Source organism: Homo sapiens, chromosome 1 (assembly GCF_000001405.40).
Source record: "Homo sapiens chromosome 1, GRCh38.p14 Primary Assembly".
Classification (NCBI taxonomy): Eukaryota; Metazoa; Chordata; class Mammalia; order Primates; family Hominidae; genus Homo; species Homo sapiens.
This window is the reverse complement of record NC_000001.11, coordinates 231,543,278-231,563,416: the sequence shown is the minus strand read 5'-3', so window position 1 is coordinate 231,563,416 and position 20,139 is coordinate 231,543,278. Positions and strand designations below refer to the sequence as shown.

The following is a 20,139-nucleotide window of genomic DNA, read 5'->3' as shown; positions in this document are numbered from 1 at the left end:
TAAATGAGAACATTTACCAAGTTCTTGGCATAATGCCCAACACAAAGTAAATATTCAACAAATGCTAGCTGCTATCATGATATCATCATGAAATCTCTCTCCACATCAATTTCCCTCTACTGAATTCTTTCTGGTAGAGACGATGCCTAAATTGTTATTAAAAGACGGTATGTATAAAAGGGTAGGTGAAGTTGCAGTTACATCAAAGGACATTTTAGGTAGTGGGAACTACAAAGGCATACAGGTAAGAATTGTGCATTTGAGGAACTAATGAGATAATTCTTTTGAGTAAAGTTTAAAGGAAGTTACATAAATATAAGCTGAGACAAGGGAGACAGCTTTATTAAGATCACTCTTTGCTATGTATCTAATACTTGAATCCTAGCACTGTTTGGACTCTGCAGAGACCATTTGGTGCAACGTCCTCATCATTTAGCATGAGAAATGAGGTCCGAGAAACATCACAGGTAATATGACGTTGAGCTATGGGAATATGATAGCTAGTTAGTGGCACTAATGTTTCCATTCTATTTTTCTGCATGTTTGAAATTTTTCACAAAACTTTTTAAAATAAAAATTAAATAGTTTTGACAATATTCTCAACAGGCAAGTCAGAGCAAAATACCTTTCCCAATCAAATTCCCAGAAATTTCAGCACCAAGCATCTTTAGCACTAAAACTTATTTATGAACATAGTCTTATACAATTTGAAACATGTATATGAATATTATAGCCCCATAATCTTAAAATAATCTGGTACCTAAGTCCTGAAAACAGTACTTTGACTCTCAATTTTCTGGCCTTTTCCCCAATATTTTCATTTTGATACACAGAGAACTTTAAAGGAAAGTGTGGTAACTTCCCTAATATCACGTGAGAAGCAGGGTCAAATAGACCTACTTTACTTCTTTGTGTAATTCAGTCTACACTATATGAATAAAAAATATGAAGAAATTTTACTTCTCAAAATAAATTTCCTCCTTAATACACTTCATATAACTTAAAGTTAATACATGGCTTCCTTAAAGTAAGTTATACCTGTCATGCCAAATTAGTCTCATTTGTATTAATATTTTAGTTGATATTCAAGAAAATATTATTTCTACAGTGTCTTCCATCTCCTGCCTACCTATCCTTAATATATGGTGTTTTTAAAAATAATTTTTAAAAGAAAAAATAAAGAAAATTTTTAAAATAATTAAATATTTAATATTTAGTAAATTAAATTAATAATTTAATAATTTAATATTTAAACAATTATTTAAATAATATAAATTATTTTAAAATATTTAATTTTAAGTGTACTGGTATCTCAGAAAGTATCAAATAGTCAATACAGCTTACCTTACTGCCTGTTATATCTTGAAACCCAGAAGGAAAAAAATAGTATTTGTTTAAAAGTCAAACTGCAAAGTTTTTCTTAATTCAGAAAAGCTACATAAATTTCAGATATAAGCATTATGAATTGAGTAAATGATTAACAGCTCTCACTATATAAAAACTACTTTATAATGGCAAACTACTGAGCACTTCCGTGTCAGGTGCTGTATATAATGTATATTACGTGTCAGGTGCTGCTGTATATTGCCTAATTAATAACCTTTAAGTCAAATCCTTTAAAACAACCCTTTGAGGTAGGTACCTGATGCAAGGGATCCCTGTAGCACACTGTGAGAAGCGCTGGCAGAGTGGACAAGGGCACAGGCTTGGATTCAAAATACCTAACTTCAAATCTTAGCTCTGCCACACTTTTTAGTTGTGGCTTCTGGCAAGTTACTTAACCTCTCTAAAAGTCTGTTTCTTTCTCTGTAAAATGAGAGTAATAATGCTTACCACATATGGTTAATAAAAGGATTAAATAAGACAGTGCTTACAAAGGGCAAGTGAAAAATAGAGAGTAAAACCAAAAGAGGACTTACAGTAAGCACTCCATAATGCTTTAGGTAAAGAGCATTACTTTCCCAATATGCCCAGAGTTGTTCTTGTTCTATCCACTAACTGAAATATTTAAAAAGACCATTTCCTAGTTGAGACTCTACAAAACCATACTTTAGAAAGAACATTCCCATCTCAATCTTAGCATAAGCCAGTAAATCTACTAGAATCGTCATACTGTTACATAAATTATATAACAAATGTGAAATAAATTTTAAATTCTCACAGTTTTATTTTCTTTCCCATTGTCTTCAGTCGTAAATATCAATTGTTTATTAATTTCATCCATACTAATTAATGATCGTGTTTTGATGAAGTGTTGAAAAGAGACAGCTTCCACATATTCCTGTAGTCCTGAAAGCGTGACAAAGAAAATTACTAAGAATAAGCACTTAATTAGTAAGAATGTCATAATAAAAAAACTTCATATTGATCATCATCTAGTTCAAAAAAAAGCTTAATGGATGCCTACTACAATGCCAGTACTAGACTAGACACTTAGAATAGAAAGAATGGCCTGGGGACCAGGCGCGGTGGCTCACGCCTGTAATCCCAGCACTTTAAAAGGCCAAGGCGGGTGGATCACTTCAGGTCAGGAGATGGAGACCAGCCTGGCCAACACAGTAAAACCCCAACTCTACTAAAAATACAAAAATTAGCTGGACATGGTGGCGGGCGCCTGTAATCTCTGGGCCACTGTGCCCAGCCAGAAAAAAAATTTTTTTAAGAGTTTAAGTAATTAGGATTTAAGAAAAGCTTATTCTGGCCGGGCACGGTGGCTCACGCCTGTAATCCCAGCACTTTGGGAGGCTGAGGTGGGCGGATCACCTGAGGTCAGGAGTTTGAGACCATCCTGGCCAACATGGCGAAACCCCATCTCTACTAAAAATACAAAAAATATTAGCCGGGTGTGGTGGCAGGAGCCCGTAATCCCAGCTACTCGGGAGGCTGAGGCAGGAGAATCGCTTGAACCCAGGAGCCGAAGGTTGCAGTGAGCCAAGACCGCACCATTGCACTCCAGCCTGGGGGACAAGAGCGAGACTTCGTCTCAAAAAAAAAAAAAGGGGGGGGGGGGAGAAAAGAAAAGCCTATTCCATAATTTTGATAGGCTTTAATAAAAATTATATAAATTAATTTGTTTTATTTTGCTGGGTAACGAAGCAATGATTCAAACAAATGAGACATAAAATTAAGAATCATTTGGGCCGTTCACGATGGCTCACGCCTGTAATCCCAGCACTTTGGGAGGCCCAGGCGGGTGGATCACGAGGTCAGGAGATCCAGACCATCCTGGCTAACATGGTGAAACCACATTTCTACTAAAAATAAAAAAACTTAGCCGGGCGTGGTGGCGGGCGCCTGTAGTCCCAGCTACACAGGAGGCTGAGGCAGGAGAATGGCGTGAACCCGGGAAGCAGAGCTTGCAGTGAGCCAAGATCATGCCACTGCACTGCGGCCTAGGCGGCAGAGCGAGACTCGTCGCAAAAAAAAAAAAATAATAATAATAATAATAATAATTTGGATCTTTCTTAAAGTTTTAATAGGCAAAATCACTTTTAACTAATGTAGGTAAGTGTCAAAATACCGTTTATCTTTTCATAGTTCAAAATGGATCTAAGACTAGATAACTCCTTTCTGCTTTGGTAGTTTAAGAAAAAAAAAAGAGAGCTATGCAATACAATTTTGTACAAGACAGAAACAACCCTTGAATTGAAGAGTAAATTTTGGTAAAGATCAAAATGTAACTTAAATACTTTTAAAAATGTTTATATAAATGTAAAGGGCACAAGTGCAATTTTGTTACATGTCTACAGTACTATACTTTTCCAAGTGTTTTAAAACAACTACTTTCTGGCCGGGCGCCGGTGGCTCACACCTGTAATCCCAGCACTTTGGGAGGCCAAGGCCAGCGGGTCACGAGGTCAGGAGATCGAGACCATCCTGGCTAACATGGTGAAACCCCGTCTCTACTAAAAACACAAAAAATTAGCTGGGCATGGTGGCGGGTGCCTGTAGTCCCAGCTACTTTGGAGGCTGAGGCAGGAGAATGGCGTGAACCCGGGAGGTGGGGCTTGTAATGAGCCGAGATTGTGCCACTGCACTCCAGCCTGGGCAACAGAGCAAGATTCCATCTCAAAAACAACAACAACAACAACAACAACAAACTATATTCTATAGCCACAATTTTCAATATTATTTGATGTCTTAATCTGAAAGGTGATACAGGGAAAAAGCATTTCTTAATTATTATTGTTAGTTTAAGAAACTTTTTAAAGGTTTGTTGTAAAAATAGCAAGAGAATACATTTCTGATTATGCAAAGAAAACTCAGAACTTAAGAGGATATTTAAGTTCTCTAACATTTTTTATGACAGAGTCCTGCTACTCACAAGTCTCCCCCACCTGCCACTACACTTCTGGTATGGCAGCAACAGTGTTGGGGAGGCTAACAGCTGTAGTATCATCACATCAAATGCCAGGCAAAGGTCCAGGATACAAGGGAAAATGGGTGACCCTGGTTTTGATAGCACTAAGAGGAAACTTAACTAAATGAAAATATCCTGACTCATTCTGAGCTGCAAATGATGCCCAAATATAGGTCAGAAGGGACAATTTAACAAACCATAATGTTCTGAGAAATTAAACATTAACGAGGTTAAGTTTAACAAAACAGATGATGTCATTTATATTTATAATTAAAAATATTTTTAATTAAATGTTTAATTTTATGAATTTTTAGTTTTATGAATAGGTGACACCGCCCAGTTCCCCCCCAAAGAAAATCTCTATTTCTCATTTCCTTCTAAAGATACTTCATGCACACAAAAGCAAACAGCAAAACGTAAAGATGCATAATCACATCTCCATGCTCTAATGTGGTTAGCCTCTTATGAGCTAAACAAGAAGATATGCACAAAGATTTACATATAAGGATGTTTGTCACTACAGCAAAAAAAATTTTTTAAAGTTAAAAGACCAGTAATAGCTGTATCACTTGTCAATTTTTGTCTCTTAGTTCCATTATTTCAGAAGAAGGAGGTGGATACTTAAAGCATGTCTCCTATGCCAGCTGGCAATATATTAAGCTTTGTCAGTACAGGGTGCTAGGTGCTTAAAGAACTGTAAAGAGCTCTCTGCCTGGTTCTGCTGTGCCCCTCTTCACAGCCCTGAGTATGGGGCAGCCAGCACTTCAAGGTGGCCAACAGCATGTAGCACCTGCCTGGGGACAGCTTCTTTTGTACTCCAGAGAATGGCTTCCCAGTAAGCCACCTCCTTGGGCAGGGAATTCCTTTCCATGGCATTTCCCCATGGACAGCTTCCCAGAGAGTCCATCAGCACAACAGCTCAGCAAATGTCTCTGCCAGCCGATGGGACATGCCCACCCTCTCCAGCATGGTCTGGACCTCATCCTGTGAAGGGTGAGGGTTGGGTTCTGCCAAATTTAGTTCCTTGGGTGCTCTGCCTCCGCCCTAGGGGTAGTGGCTGCTCACTCTATCTGAGATTCCAGTACTCTTTAGAGTTCTCTTTTACTCTTATAATCCCCTATATGGTTAATAAGTCTGTATGTTGTATTTAACTTTCCCTGTTCATATTACCATCTAATTTCTGTTTCCTGTTTGGAGCCTGATGAATACAATAAGGAATTAGGAAAATAAATAATGGTATTACTTCTCCTTCAGCCCTACTACCTAGAGAAGGTGTTCCATTTTCTGTGGCTAGTCACTGTATTAGGTTCAGGATCAAGATTCAGTACCAGCTGGGAGCTTCACATGAATTCTCCCTTTAACATACTAGGTGTTCTCACTTTATGTTCTATACTGAATCTTACAGAAATACTGAAACACACTCAGATCTGTCCTATCCATGAACCCTATATTTCCTCTCAACTATTGCTCCATCTGTCTCCTCCTCCTCAGAGCTAAGTTTCTTGAAGTAGCTGGCTACATCATTTCCTCAATAACTTCATCTCACACTTCTCAACCTACTTCAATCTAGCTTGGGTACATCTCTAAAACAAAATAGTTCTTGCTAAGATTACCATAATAAATAAGACTAATGGACATTCTTTCCGTCTTCATCTCGGCAGCATTCAGCATTTTGTGCCACTTCCCCTCTTTGAACAAGTTTTCCTTTGATTCCTTTGACAGCATCATCTCCTGATTTCCCACTTTTCCACCTCTCTAGTCATGTCTTCTTAAGTCTCTGCCTCTATCAGTCCTAGGTTCCCTCCAGTTCATCTATACTTGGTTTCAAGTAACCTTGCTGCCCTTAAACTTCACATCTCTGGCCAACAGGCACTCACATCCAAATGAGTATCTGACATCCTTACCAAAGATACCTCAAAATCAACACTTCCAACAATGAACTCACTACCTTCCTTCCAAACCTGGTTCTCTCAAGTTTTGCCAATTCTAAGCATGTCCTGGTCTCCCCCCATCTATTCTTGACCTCTTCACATCCATTCTCACACTGCAGACTGTCTGCCTTTTTAATATGTTAACGACATCATTCCCCAGTTTAAAGCCCAAATAGCTTCCCATGGCGCTCAGAATACAGGGCAAAACCATTAACGTGGCTTATAAGACCATGCTTAATTTCACCCCCACTTACATTATCAGCCTCAATTCATGCTATAGTTAAGTCATAACTCACAAAGGCTTGCATTTCCAAGATGGGTACATAAACATATATCTGTATGCATGTTGAGCAAAAAATAGCACTGCTTTAAATGGTCAGAATCAAACACAACTGGCAAGGTGCCTGTCTTATACATGGCAATAGGTAGGTAGGGAGACAGTATAAAAAGTAGAACTATGTCAGTTGAAGGCAATACACACATATTTTCCTGAGCCTTGAATAATATTAAATTCAACAAACAGGATAAGCAGCCTTACATGGAAAGGGGGCTGTTATTCTCTCCATCTCGCCCAATGTAACACTGTCGATCCTATTTGTTAAATTTAGTATTATTTCATATGTAGCTGTTGATAAGACCACAAACACTTTAGCAACAACATACTACTAATATTCTGTATCATTCAGCAGTGCCTTGTTGCAGAAACAAATAGCATTTCTGTTTGGCTGCCATATAGTTTAGTTTCATTCAAGTACTTTTTTTTTCATATTTCAGTGGAAGAATAGTTCAAAATATTCCAAATTTTAAAAGTACCATCAAGATCATGGCATCTAGTACTTTTACAACTGAGGCCCAGGCCTGGCATTTAGTTGTACCTAGTTGATTTTACTAATTACAAATTATTTTTAAAAATAAATTCACTAAAACCATTTTCCATGTTTTGAATTGACTCACGGACAAAACAACTTTTTACAACTAATGAAGGTGAACAAACTTTTTTCTTCCATGGACAAATGCATGATATTTTACCATATCATTGTCTCCGTAATTGTCATCTTTGTTCAATAACATTCATTCAGAAGCAGGAGTAGTTTTAAAAATAGTACTTTGCTTTTTGATTGTCTATTGCTTTTCTTTCCCCTCTTCCATTGTGCAACTATGAAATTTAAAATTATTCATCTTTCATTATCCAAGGCTCTTTGGTTCCTCCCCTCAACTTAGCTCCATTTCTACTCTTGCATGTCCAAAAACTCCTTAAGGACTCTATTCTACAAATGGACATCTACCCTGGGACAAAATCCTTAATTATCACAGAGGACCTAGGAAAACAGGAATTTCAGTCTTTCCTTGAGCAGGAGCAAACTCTTAAGATGTGCTTTTACTCCAATCATCTCTGTAAGCCAAATACTGCAATACAGTAAGCAATATTTACTCCCAACAAAATGAATTATGGCATCTTGCTTAAAGAGCTGAAGTGGTTAGAATTCGTTTGATTTTTTTAAAAATTAGCAGTTTCATTTTTATTTTTTCTCCGTTTAATTGTGGTAAAACAAACATAACATTTACCAGCTTAGCCATTTTTAAGTGTACAGTTTAGCATATTAAATACATTCATAATGTTGTACAACCATTATTACCATTCATCTACAGAATTCTTGTATTAATCTTTCCAAAATGAAACTCTGGACCTAGCATTTCTTAATCTAACTCCCCATCCCTCCTCCCCTCAGCTCCTGCCAACCACCATTCTACTTTCTTGTCTCTATGATTTTGACTACTCTGGGTACCTCATGTAAGTAACAAATACAGTATTTGCCCTTTTGTGATTGGCTTATTTCACTTTGCATAATGTCTTCAAGCTTCATCCACGTTGTAACATATGTCAGAATTTCCTGTTTAAGGCTGAATAATATTCTATTGTATGCATATACCACACTTTGTTTATTCACTCATCTATAGAGAGACAACTGAGTCACTTCCACCTTTTGGCTTTTCTAAGTAATGCTGCTGTAAACATGACTATTCATACCTGTTCAAGTCGTGCTTTCAATTATTTAGGGGTATCACCCAGAAGCCCTCAACAAACTTTTTAAAAATAAAATAATAGTTTACTAAGTCTTGAATGTCTACTACATGTTAAGAGTATGGATCTGGAACTTTACATCCATCTTTTTAATGCTCACTATAACCTTATGTGACTATTACTATCCTTAATGAACAAATTGAGGCATAGAGAAGTTAAGAAATTCAGCCAAGTCACACAGTAAATAGTGAAAGTTTCTAGAATTCAAAAGCTCACACCCTTCCCATCTTACCTGCTTCTTGACAGTCATCTCCATATAAAACATACCCATTTTTCTCAACATTTTTCCACACTAAATTCCTGGTTCAGCTTTTCTCCATGTTTTGCTTAACCTTATTCTGTAGTCTTCCAAACACACTATATACTTTCATGATTCCATGTCATTCTGTGACTATGAAGCCTTCTCTCACATCTTTCTCTACCTACAACAATAGTTTAAATGTTTTAATACACCCCAATCAAGGCGGCACTCGTCTCTTCATTCTCACTATATAAAACTTGTACTTCAATTAAATGTTTCAGTCAGTTTTAGATTACAAACAGCTGTCTGATCACCTATTTTGCACCCTAGAACTCTGAGGGTGGGGACAATGCCCAGACGACTTTGCTCCTTGGCCCTCTCCCAAAGATAGCAACTCATATGTACAAGAGACTCAACTTTTTCCCGTAAATTCCTTCTAATAATCTGTTTCTCCTCACCAAGGTCTATGAAACTAAGTGCCTCAACAAAAAAAATATTTTAAAATTTGGTATTCAATTATTCAGAACTATCTAGTTGTACTTAAGTTAAAATACTTTCTAACAAGGTTAGTGTTCAAACTGATGAAGGGCAGAATTTGAGGTCCTGATTTATTTTTTAATAGGGAAAAGAGAGAATATGGAATAAGAGTCCTCAAAATTTATCTTTGGTGTCAATCTCTATTAAATATGGGTGAGTGTCAGTTATTTAATTTTCAAGTATATCTAGTCATTATATAAGTTGTCCTTGAAATGTGTTAACAAAAGTTACTTCAGAGATGAGGTGGCCATTTTTGCTCCATAGAAATTAGATTTCATGGGCCAGGCGTGGTGGCTCACGCCTGTAATCCCAGCACTTTGGGAGGCCAAAGTGGGTGGATCACCTGAGGTTGGGAGTTCGAGACCAGCCTGACCAACATGGAGAAACCTCGTCTCTACTAAAAATACAAAATTAGCCGGGTGTGGTGGCACATGCCTGTAATCCCAGCTACTCGGGAGGCTGAGGCAAAAGAATCGCTTGAACCTGGGAGGCAGAGGTTGTGGTGAGCCGAGATCTCGCCATTGCACTCCACCCTGGGCAACAAGAGCAAAACTCCATCTCAAAGAAAAAAAAAAAAAAAAAGGAAAGAAAGAAATTAGGTTTCATGCTATAATGTGGAGAAAGTTCAAGGACATCTGGCCCAAAACACTGAAAAGCATTTTTGGTCACATGTAGGTAAGAGGATGTTTAAACAAGTTATGTTTCAACCTGATAAAAAGGACATCCGCTATTTTCAGTGAATAATCCCCAAGGTGAAAATTTTCAACGTACTGCCATATTCCATCAAACAATGCCTTCCCCTTCTGTCTTAGCCTTGGATGAAATCCAATTAGAATTATTTACAGAATCAGCTGCCAGTAAGAGAGAAGTCTGTAGGTTGCTTTTATGTAAATTGTTATTTTTTTCCTTGTTCTCCCATTAGAACATATAACAGGGAAACCCAGTTAAAGGCTTCTGATTATTTTTACATATTCCTTTAATATTTAAGCAATATACATCCAGTCCAAATCTCCATCAAAAACTATATATAAAAGCAAACAGATATGACAAAGGTTTCATTATAAATTTGAACCTCACATGACTCAACTTTGTTTCTTGGTTTTTAATGCTTTTTCAGAAATTGTTTAACATATGATTCGGTAATTCCGCTCCTAGGTATATACACCCAAAAGAGCTGAAAGCATATATTCACACAAAGACTTGTAGGCAAATATTAACAGCAGTTATTATTCACAAAGGCCAAAAAGTATAAACAACCCAAAAGTCCACCAACTGATGATAGATTAACAAAATACAGTATATCCATAAAACAGACTATAATTCAGCTATTAAAAAGGAATGAAATACAGATACATGCTATGACATAGCTGAACTCTGAAAACATGCTCTAAGAAACCAGACGCAAGAGGCCATACATGGTTTGATTCAATTTATATGAGATATCCAGAATAGACAAATTACCATAGAGACAAAAGTAGATTAGTGGTGACCAGGGGCTAACCCTGGTATTAGGAGAACGGGGAATGGGGAATGACCGCTAATAGGTAGGAGGTTTCTTTTGAGCGTGATGAAATGTTCTGGTATTAGACAGTGATAAGTACATAACCTTGTGGAAACAGTAAAAACAAATGAATTATTCAATTTAAAATTTAATTATGTGGTATGTAATGTCTCAATTTTTAAAAACTGCACTTGTAACTATTTCTCTGGTACCACATGAATTTTTAAAACAAGTTAGCGTCACCAAATCAATCACTGAAATGTTAAAATGAAATCAGATTTATATTGGATTCACAGGCCACTCTGCTAAAAATCTACTTTCAAATACATGAAGTGCACACTGAAAATAAATATATCTATATGCCTCAGCTTTGTAAAGTATGTGTGCTTATACTACCAACAGTAAACTCTAAATAGAATTCCACTAATTTGGATTTTGTCTGAGTAGGGTTTTTTTGTTTGTTTTGGTTTTTTTTCTGAGACAACCTGGCTCTGTTGCCCAGGATGGAGTACAGTGGCACGATCTTGGCTCACTGCAACCTCTGCCACCTGGGTTCAAGTGATTCTCTCTCCTGCCTCAGCCTCCCGAGTAGCTGGGATTGTAAGTGCCTGCTGTCGCACCCAGCTAACTTTTGTAGACGGGGTTTCATCATGTTGTCTAGGCTGGTCTCGAACTCCCGACCTCAGGTGATTCGCCCACCTTGGCCTCCCAAAGTGCTGAGATTACAGGCGTAAGCCACCGCGCCTGGAATGGGTCTTTCTTTTTTTAAAAAGAGACATGATCTTGCTCTGTCACACAGGCTGGAGTGCAGTGGCACAATCGTGGCTCACTGCAGCCTCAAACTCCTTGGCTCAAGCGATCCTCATGCCTTAGCCTCCCCAGTAACTAGGACTACAGGAGCAAGCAACTATGCCTAGCTAATGGTGTTTTTATTTTTATTTATTTACTTTTTTTTTTTTTTTTTTACTTTTTTGTAGAGACAGGGTTTTGCTAAGTTGCACAGACTGGTCTCAAGTGATCCTCCCACCATGACCTCCCAAAGTGCTGGGATTACAGGTATGAGCTACCACTTCCAGCCCTAGGCAGGGTTTTTACATCAGCACTGAAGAACGAGTATTGAGCAAATTGGTACCACTGAGTTTTTATCCAAAATGAAAATAAATGTTAAAATTTAGTACAATATTATAGATTAATTTTGCTAAATTCAAGAAAGGTCAGGAATGAACATTTGTTAATGGTTATATGCCAAACAAAATAAATGCTTTCCATAAATGTATTTAATTTCCAAAAAATCCAGGAGGTAGCTATTAATGTTCTCATGCTAAAGGAAAGAAAGCTGAAATTCAAATAGGTTGTACACTTTGTTCCAAGGTTACAGCGATATGGAATATTAAAACATAAAAGCCCAGGTCTGATGGCAAAGTTGATCTCTTTCTACTTCACCTCACTGAGCAAGCCTTACCTCTTACAAGGAGACCTCACAGACTAGAAAAGTTAAGACCAATCTGGGGATCTTCTAAAACTGACTTTCCTAATACCAAAGGACCACATTCTCTTCTTATCTTGCTTAATCCTTATAATAGCCACTTAAATAACTCATCTGCACTTTCAACTACCTTGTCCCTTGGAGTCATATTCAAGATATTTTAACAGGAATATAAAGTACTATATAAATAAATATAAATCCCAAATTTTAAATATATTTTTATTTTCTTAATACACTAAACTATATTATAGAACTGCTTACCAAGTGATATAAAATATAACAAATTATTCCTCAAATCATTCCAATAATTCTCAAATCATTTCTTAATTTTTTAGATGCTGTTGGAAAGGGCTTTTGACTTCCCTTGTCTGAGCCATGATTTGATATGCAAAGTATCATCAAACTCTTCCTATGACCTCCTCCATTAAAATGACAGTTATCAGGCAACTGGGTTCCTGCCAATGTAGGGGATTCACACAGGCTTGCCCCCATTGTCAGCTTCCAATTCCCCCAACCATTCCTTTAGTCTCTGTTCCTCTCTCATCATACTCTCTCCTCCAACCAATAGGGGACGAAAGGAGTAGAAGAGGAAAAGGAAGGAAGGAAGAAGAAAAGAAAGAAAATCTGTGTTCTCACTTGCTGGGATGCCTGCTGTCCTGTGATGGTTATCAATAAGGCTCCCTTCCCCCAGACTCTTTCCCTTATGTGCAGAGACAGCCACTTCTCTTTCCACCAGGGGGCCATGCCTCAAATAAAGCAATGCTTCCTGAACCTACCTGAGATTATAAACGCAGCCTGAGAGAATATGCTCTGCATGAAATATCTGTTTATATCCCTGGTTCCCAGTAGAGTCATCAGACACTATTTGCTTCTCCCCTTAAGGCACCTCTTTTTGGGGGTTTACAAAAGAAGTCCACAGCTCAGCTGCACAACACAACACCCCCACCCACCCCTGGACTTAAAAGCAACTCCCCAGTCCCTCCACTCCAAAGTAACATTTGTAGCTCATCCTCTAGCTGCAGTGCACAAACCAAAAAGTATCTGTTATGGACTGAACTGGGCTGCCCCAAATATGCTGATTATATGTTGAAGCCCTAACCTCTAGTACCTGAGAATGTGAGTGTATTTGCAGACAAGGTCTTTAAAGAGGGGATTAAGTTAAAATTAGTCCATTGAGGTGTACTTTTATCGAATATGACTGGTGACATAAGGAAATATTAGGACACACAGGGACAACAGAGATGTGTGTGCACGTGTGCACAAGGCCATGTGAAGACCCAGGGAAAAGATAGCCATCTGCATGTCATGGAAAGAGGCCTCAGGGGACATCAAATTTGCCAACACCTCGATCTCAGACTTGAGGCCTCCAGAACTGCAAGACAATAAATTTCTGTTTAAGCCACCCAGTCTGTGGTATTTTATTATGACAGGCCTAGTAAACTAATATAGTATCTTGGAATCGGTGCACCTTTGGCTTCTGAGATAAACCACATGTGCTGAAATTTGTATTATTAATTTTACTACTCATCACAGTTGACAATATACTACTTACCAACAAACAAAGAAGGATGTATTTCTATTTTAACAACAAACATGGCCACAATAATGCAGCAGGCTGCTTATCTTTTCCTACTTCTCCCACTGTCATCCTACTGCCAAATAATGAGCACGACCCAAACCATGAATTAATCTAACTTTCTGCCTCATTCATTCCTATTGCTATACAGAAAGGATTATATTTATTGCTCAGGTAAACTTTCAAAAATGATTAACAGCAACTATTAAATATTCCTGGTTAAGTTCCCATCCCCATTACACTCACATTCATTCTTTTATTTTTATTTTTGGGCTGGGGGCGGGGACGGAGTCTCACTCTGTCTCCCAAGCTGGAGTGCAGTGGTGCAATCTCGGCTCATTGCAACCTCCGCCTCCTGGGTTCAAGCAATTCTCCTGCCTCAGGTGCACGCCACCATGTCCAGCTAATTTTTGTATTTTTAATAGACATGGGGTTTCATCACTTTGGTCAGGCTGGTCTCGAACTCCTGACCTTGTGATCCGCCCACCTCAGCCTCCCAAAGTGCTGGGATTACAGGCGTGAGCCATCAGAGTCATTCTTAAATCTCCAGTCTCCCATCAATTCCATACCATTTCCCCACCACATCCCCTTTTCTCAGCACATGACAGGAAAATGGAAGTGACTGAGCAAGAATTTTCTCAATTCCCTACCTCTATACCCATCTGTAACTACCCATCTGTAACTGCCCATCTGGGAAGAGGGAGCTGTCCTGTCATACAAGGCTTAAGCTCTGGATCCCATCCTCAGGTCTTGATTATTCAGGGATATTATTCGCTTAAATATTATATTGTATTTCCTTTAGTTAAGGTTCCCAGCCTTTGGTTTTATTCTCACTCTACACTCTCCTTAGACAATCTTATCCATGTCTTTAAAATTAACTACAATTTATAAGCTCATGACTCCAAGGCTGTAACTGCAGATGCATCCTGAGTTCTGTAGACCTACGTATCAAATTGCCTCCTAGGCAGCAACCTGTACGTCCTAAGATTTCCAATTAATTTTTCCAAAACCCATTCCACCTTCCTGTTTTCTCCTCTTAACAAATAACATTCCTATTCATCCAGTTGGCCAAACCAGAAACCTAAAGGCATCCCTAGACTATTCCCTTTCTGCTTTTTAAAAATAAACTGTCTTCTAAAAACATGCCCATTCCTCTCTATTCCCACTGCTAACACCAAACTTGAGGCCCTATTCATTTCACTCCAAGAAGGACCACTACAACTGCCTCACCTCTCTGCCTCTAGCTTCCCACTGAATAAAATATGATAATGGCAAAACAGAAAGCAGAGACTTGAAGGGAGGATGTCCTAGGTTCTAAAGCTAAGTCTCTTGCAAGCAGTGTGAACTGAGTTAAGTTTACTCATTTTACTGTGCTCCAATTTTCTCATCTGTAAAGTGCAGGCATCTGTTTACATAGTAGGGTTTATACAGAATAATGTTATCAGTGTCTGGTATAAGGGCCCTTTGTATCTGTTTACTAAATTAAACTATGAGAAGAATAAAATAAGAATTACTGCCATTAATTTTTGTTAGACAATATTTTATAATGTCTTTAAAGAAAGCAATGGTGGCCAGGCGCGGTGGCTCATGCCTGTAATCCCAGCACTTTGGGAGGCCAAGGCGGGCGGATCACGGAGATCAAGACCATCCTGGCTAACATGGTGAAACCCTGTCTCTACTAAAAATACAAAAAATTAGCCGGGCGTGGTAGCGGACGCCTGTAGTCCCAGCTACTCGGGAAGCTGAGGCAGGAGAATGGCATGAACCTGGGAGGCGGAGCTTGCAGCGAGCCAAGATCGTGCCACTGCACTCCAGCCTGGGCGACAAAGTGAGACTGTCTCAAAAAAAAAAAAAAAAAAAGAAAGCAATGGTTTTTTGTTCCTTGGATTTCTTTTCCCTTTTATTAGCTTACAATTGAAAGGGGCTGTTATTCTTCTAAAATGTTATCCTAAGTCAATATGTACTACAATTCTCAAATACTTTTTGGTTTGCTAAGAAGTAACAGCAAATTGGCTGGGCACGGTGGCTCAGGCCTGTAATCCCAGCACTTTGGGAGGCCAATGTGGGTGGATCAGTTGAGGTCAGGAGTTTGAGACCAGCCTGGTCAACATAGTGAAACCCCACCTCTACTAAAAATACAAAAATTAGCTGGGCATGGTGGCATTTGCCTATAGTCCCAGCTACTCGGGAAGCTGAGGCAGGAGAATGGCGTGAACCCAGGAGGCGGAGCTTGCAGTGAGCCGAGATCACGCCACTGCACTCCAGCCTGGGCGACAGAGTGAGACTCCATCTCAAAAAAAAAAAAAAAAAAAGAAAAAAAAAAGAAAAAGCCTTTAGCTTTAGATAAAACAGTTTAAAGCACTAGATACTAGCTATCAGAGATGGATAATAGTCTAGCAGAAAGTCTATCAGAGTAGATGAAACAAGTCGGATTCCAATTCCAATACTATCACTCACCTCATTTACAAAATTAGGTAGTAGAACTAAAAGTCTTCTCACCAGTTATAAAATCACTTTCAAACAGACAAATGAATGCTTTCAAACAAAAGAAAAATCTATTCAGAAAAAAATGTTAAATCAATCAACAGACATATACCTGAATTTTCTATTACACCAAAAGAACATCAAATTACCATATCAGGCAGAGAAAAATTAACTATTCATCAAACATATTTTGCTTTCCTTGGCACGCACAGAGACCGTATTTCCCATTCTTCCTTAAGGCTGGTGTGGCCATGTGACTAGCCAACAAAATGTGGGCAGAAGTGCTCCATGCCACTTCCAGGGCTGGTGCATAAAATCCTCAGGCGCCATCCCCCACTCCTCCCTTTTCCACAATCTGTCAGCTCTATGTTGATGCCCTGGCTCATCTTGGAAATCATGTACTGGTAACAGCAGAGCCCCAGAGAGCATGGATCTGTGAATAACTAAGTGGGCAGAGCACACTCAAACTACCACTACAAAGCCTGGTCTTCAAGAGAGAAAGATAACGATTTCTAGTTTGTTAAGTCACTGCAACGTCACAGTTTATTAATCTGTTTCTGCACTTAGCTTTACCTTAACTAACCAACATCTCTGGTACTTCTCTCTTAATCTCACTCATTAACAGATAAATTCAATTTTTAGCTATATTATTCCATCCACTACACTCTTCCTACTGTTACTCCAAAAGCTTACAGAGATTCACATCATAGTTCATTTTTCCAGTGGGCACTCACAATTTTGCCAATATGCTGAACCTACATCGAATTTCTCTGTACTGCTATAGTAGCTTTGGAACTTCCCTAAACATTAATATTGATCCTATTCCTGCTAGTATGTCTAAGAAATAGCTCCTGGAAACTTGCTTTCTTTCGGAAGAAACAAAAAACAGTAAAATATAAACTTGTGAAAGCAAATCATCAGATAAAGCATATGGCTGAACAACAACAAAAAGCCTTTTAAAATTAGTTTTGTTCTTCATTCTTTTCAACATTTGTATTTCGGGAGACTTATTAGGTGTCTGGGATATATAAAGTGAAAAACAGGAATGAAATCTTTGTAGAGATCTATAGAGTCTACATTCTAGTAAGGGAAAGAGAGATAATGAAGAAATATAATATATAAAGAGATTACACATTAGAAGTTGAGAAGTGCTATGAAAAAAGGGCCACAGTGTGTGCTGGGTTTATGAGGAAAACCTCAGTATTTGGGGTAAGCAAAATAAAGCCTTTGCTAGGAGTTAGGTTGTAAAGTTAAGAGGTAAATGAAATCCATGTGGGAAGAAACCAATGGTACCACGTGCTAGCTTATGACCCTGAGCATAACTTGTGAGCCTCAATCTCCCCGCCTGTGAAGTGGTAAAAATATCTATGATTTAGAGGTATTGCAAAAACCTATGAGATTGTGAATATAAAGAATAGTGGCTAAAAACATATCTTAACTGGCCCAAAACATCCACTTTACCCATCATTCACATTCTTGGATAAAAGAATTAAAACATTAATTAGGATATAAACTTAGTTTTGTGTACCGAAATGTCTCAAAAAATGACAATTCTTATCATTATCAGTGATATAAACTAAACTTAAGAAAAAAACATGTATTTCTTCTTTGAAATGGAGGACATTTCCCCCAAACTGTTAATTTTTCAACAAGAGGGAAAAAAAAAATGACAGGACACAAATTTTTTTTTAAAGACTTATTTCAAGCAGCTAATTATTTGTTCATTTGTTTAACCATCCCTTGGGACAATCTGTAATCTACTCTGATAAGAAATGTGTAGAAAACAGACCTGACGTTTTGTTGTTGTTCAATTATTAGGATACTCAATGTTTGAGCTCACACAAGTATCCCTTAGGGAAATGCTCTGCGTGCCATTAGCACTATTCTTAATGAGGAAAAGCACAGAACTCCTTTAGTTCATTGCCAGAATTGTTTTATCTTCAAGTCAAAAGAACAACTATTTGGAGTAATACCAAAACAAGCATTTAACAATTACAAGCAGCAAGCTATTCATAAGCATCATATTGTTAATGCTAATCCAATTATAAATAACCTTATTTTATCAAATAAAATATCTGTCAGCAAAATTTTCGGTCCTAGACACCTCTTTACTTGACTGCTTTATTCCTTAACTTTAAGAAAAAACATCTTTATTGCTTCAATTCAAAGAATCTCATTTTAAAGACTTTTTACAGAAAAGATACAGAAAATCCTTCATTATTTTAATCCATGAGTAAGTTATCTTCAAAGGAAACTTACAAATCATAAACGAAGGCCTAAAAGAGACCACTGTGCTTATAATAATCCTCAATGATACAGTGAAGTAGGAAAATCTGAAGATCTATCATTCCCATTTTCTTAATGTCCTATCTTTCCAAGAGTACAGCACTTCCTTCCTGCATTAGGAAATAATCTACTGAATATTTCCCTTTCACCTTTTTCTCTCCATTTCTCTGTTCTGTAAGACAATGTACAGCTTTCTAGGTTGCTTTTGGTATCATTATCTATATGGCCTTGGCCCTTATTTAAACTCTTTATCTTTATACTTCACTGATGCATGAGGACATACAAAATAGAACTACTGGGCCAAATACAGCAAATCTGAAATGTCCCATATGTCCCACAGATATTTGGGGAACTTGATGTTGTCACAATTAGTAGAGCCTAATCATGCACTAATAAGGAATTGAGAAGTCTAAACATGAAAAACTTTTTCACACATGAGGCACCAACATTTTGGGGAAAATATGTGAATTTTTATTAAAATACAAGTTTTAAGCAGACTGAAGTCCAAAGTGAGAACTACTGTGATCAGCTTTTATTACATTTATTAACTGTCATGAATTTTTGCAAGATAGGCATACTACATGATGATGTGATAGAAAAAATGATAAAGATTATGGAAGTTATTCAAACTCTTGCCTTTAGTCATTCAGGTTAATAGGATACTTAGGAAAAGCTGTAGAATTGGATTTCTGTTTAATACAGACATTTAGACTGTACTGCTGCTTCAGTTCAAGCACTTTCCAGAAACTAAGAGACCTAACTTGGTCCCCCACCACCACCAACACTACCACCCAGTAGCCCTCAAGATTACACACGCATACCTAACTTATGTATAGCAGGACTACTCTGTCTGAAATATTTTCCTGCTATGAATCTATCTGTAGTATGGTCACAGCTACTATTATAAAGATATTCTCATGTTTTCTGCCAAGCTTGATTTACCTTTTACTTCACCCTTCTTCCCACCAGTACTTCTGATCCTGTCTCCCACTCCAGCCAAATCTGTCACACTTTACAGGTTGTGCCACTTTACAACAAACTAAATTCATGAAGTCATCTTTATTGTGTGTGCTATTATTAAGAAATCAAATAAACCCCTGATATTAATAAATTATGATGGCAGACTGTATTTCATTTGGTAATATGTTATAATGACTCCTCACAGAACTGTTTTACACTTCAGTTTCCAACAATGCACCCTCAGTTTTAACTAATGTATGCTGGTACTTTCTCTTACCCATATTAGAAGACATATCAACATTTCTGAAAAAACAAGTGCTGAAATTATAAACGTTTAGGCTAAAACTGGGTATTCGTATTAAGCAGATACCAAATAAACTCATTTCCCAGTCTTCCTGCAAATCTTAGGGTACTGATATTGAGCATTCCTAATCCAAAAATCCTAAATCCGAAATGGTCCAAAATCCAAAACGTTTTGAGTGCTGACACGATGCTCAAAGGTCATGCTTAAAAGAAATGCTCATTGGAGCATTTCAGGTTCCTGGATTAGAGATGCTCAAGCAGTAAACTGTGAATATTTCAACACTCAAAATCTGAAACACTTCTGTTCCCAAGCATTTTGGATAAGGGATACTGAACCTGTATCTGAATTATCTAGTATCTGTCCTATCAATGAACCCACATTAGAAAAAGA

At 37.8% G+C, this 20,139-nt stretch overlaps 1 protein-coding gene and 1 long non-coding RNA gene across 9 annotated transcripts in view; both read right to left on the bottom strand.

Moving 5' to 3' along the window:
- Nucleotides 1-20,139, bottom strand: part of TSNAX-DISC1 (TSNAX-DISC1 readthrough (NMD candidate)) — a 512,620-nt gene that overhangs the window by 477,856 nt on the left and 14,625 nt on the right. For 5 of the 8 annotated variants that reach the window (NR_028394.1, NR_028395.1, NR_028397.1 and 2 more), the window contains one exon: nucleotides 2,162-2,289. The exons of the other annotated variants lie outside the window; for them this stretch is intronic. This is a non-coding gene — a long non-coding RNA (TSNAX-DISC1 readthrough (NMD candidate)). The remainder of the gene's footprint in view (nucleotides 1-2,161; nucleotides 2,290-20,139) is intronic. 8 annotated transcript variants of the gene reach the window in all.
- The window catches only part of TSNAX (translin associated factor X), a 37,856-nt gene that overhangs the window by 3,108 nt on the left and 14,609 nt on the right, over nucleotides 1-20,139 (bottom strand). The window contains exon 5 of the mRNA NM_005999.3: nucleotides 2,162-2,289. Within this exon, the coding sequence (NP_005990.1) occupies nucleotides 2,162-2,289 (128 nt within the window). The remainder of the gene's footprint in view (nucleotides 1-2,161; nucleotides 2,290-20,139) is intronic.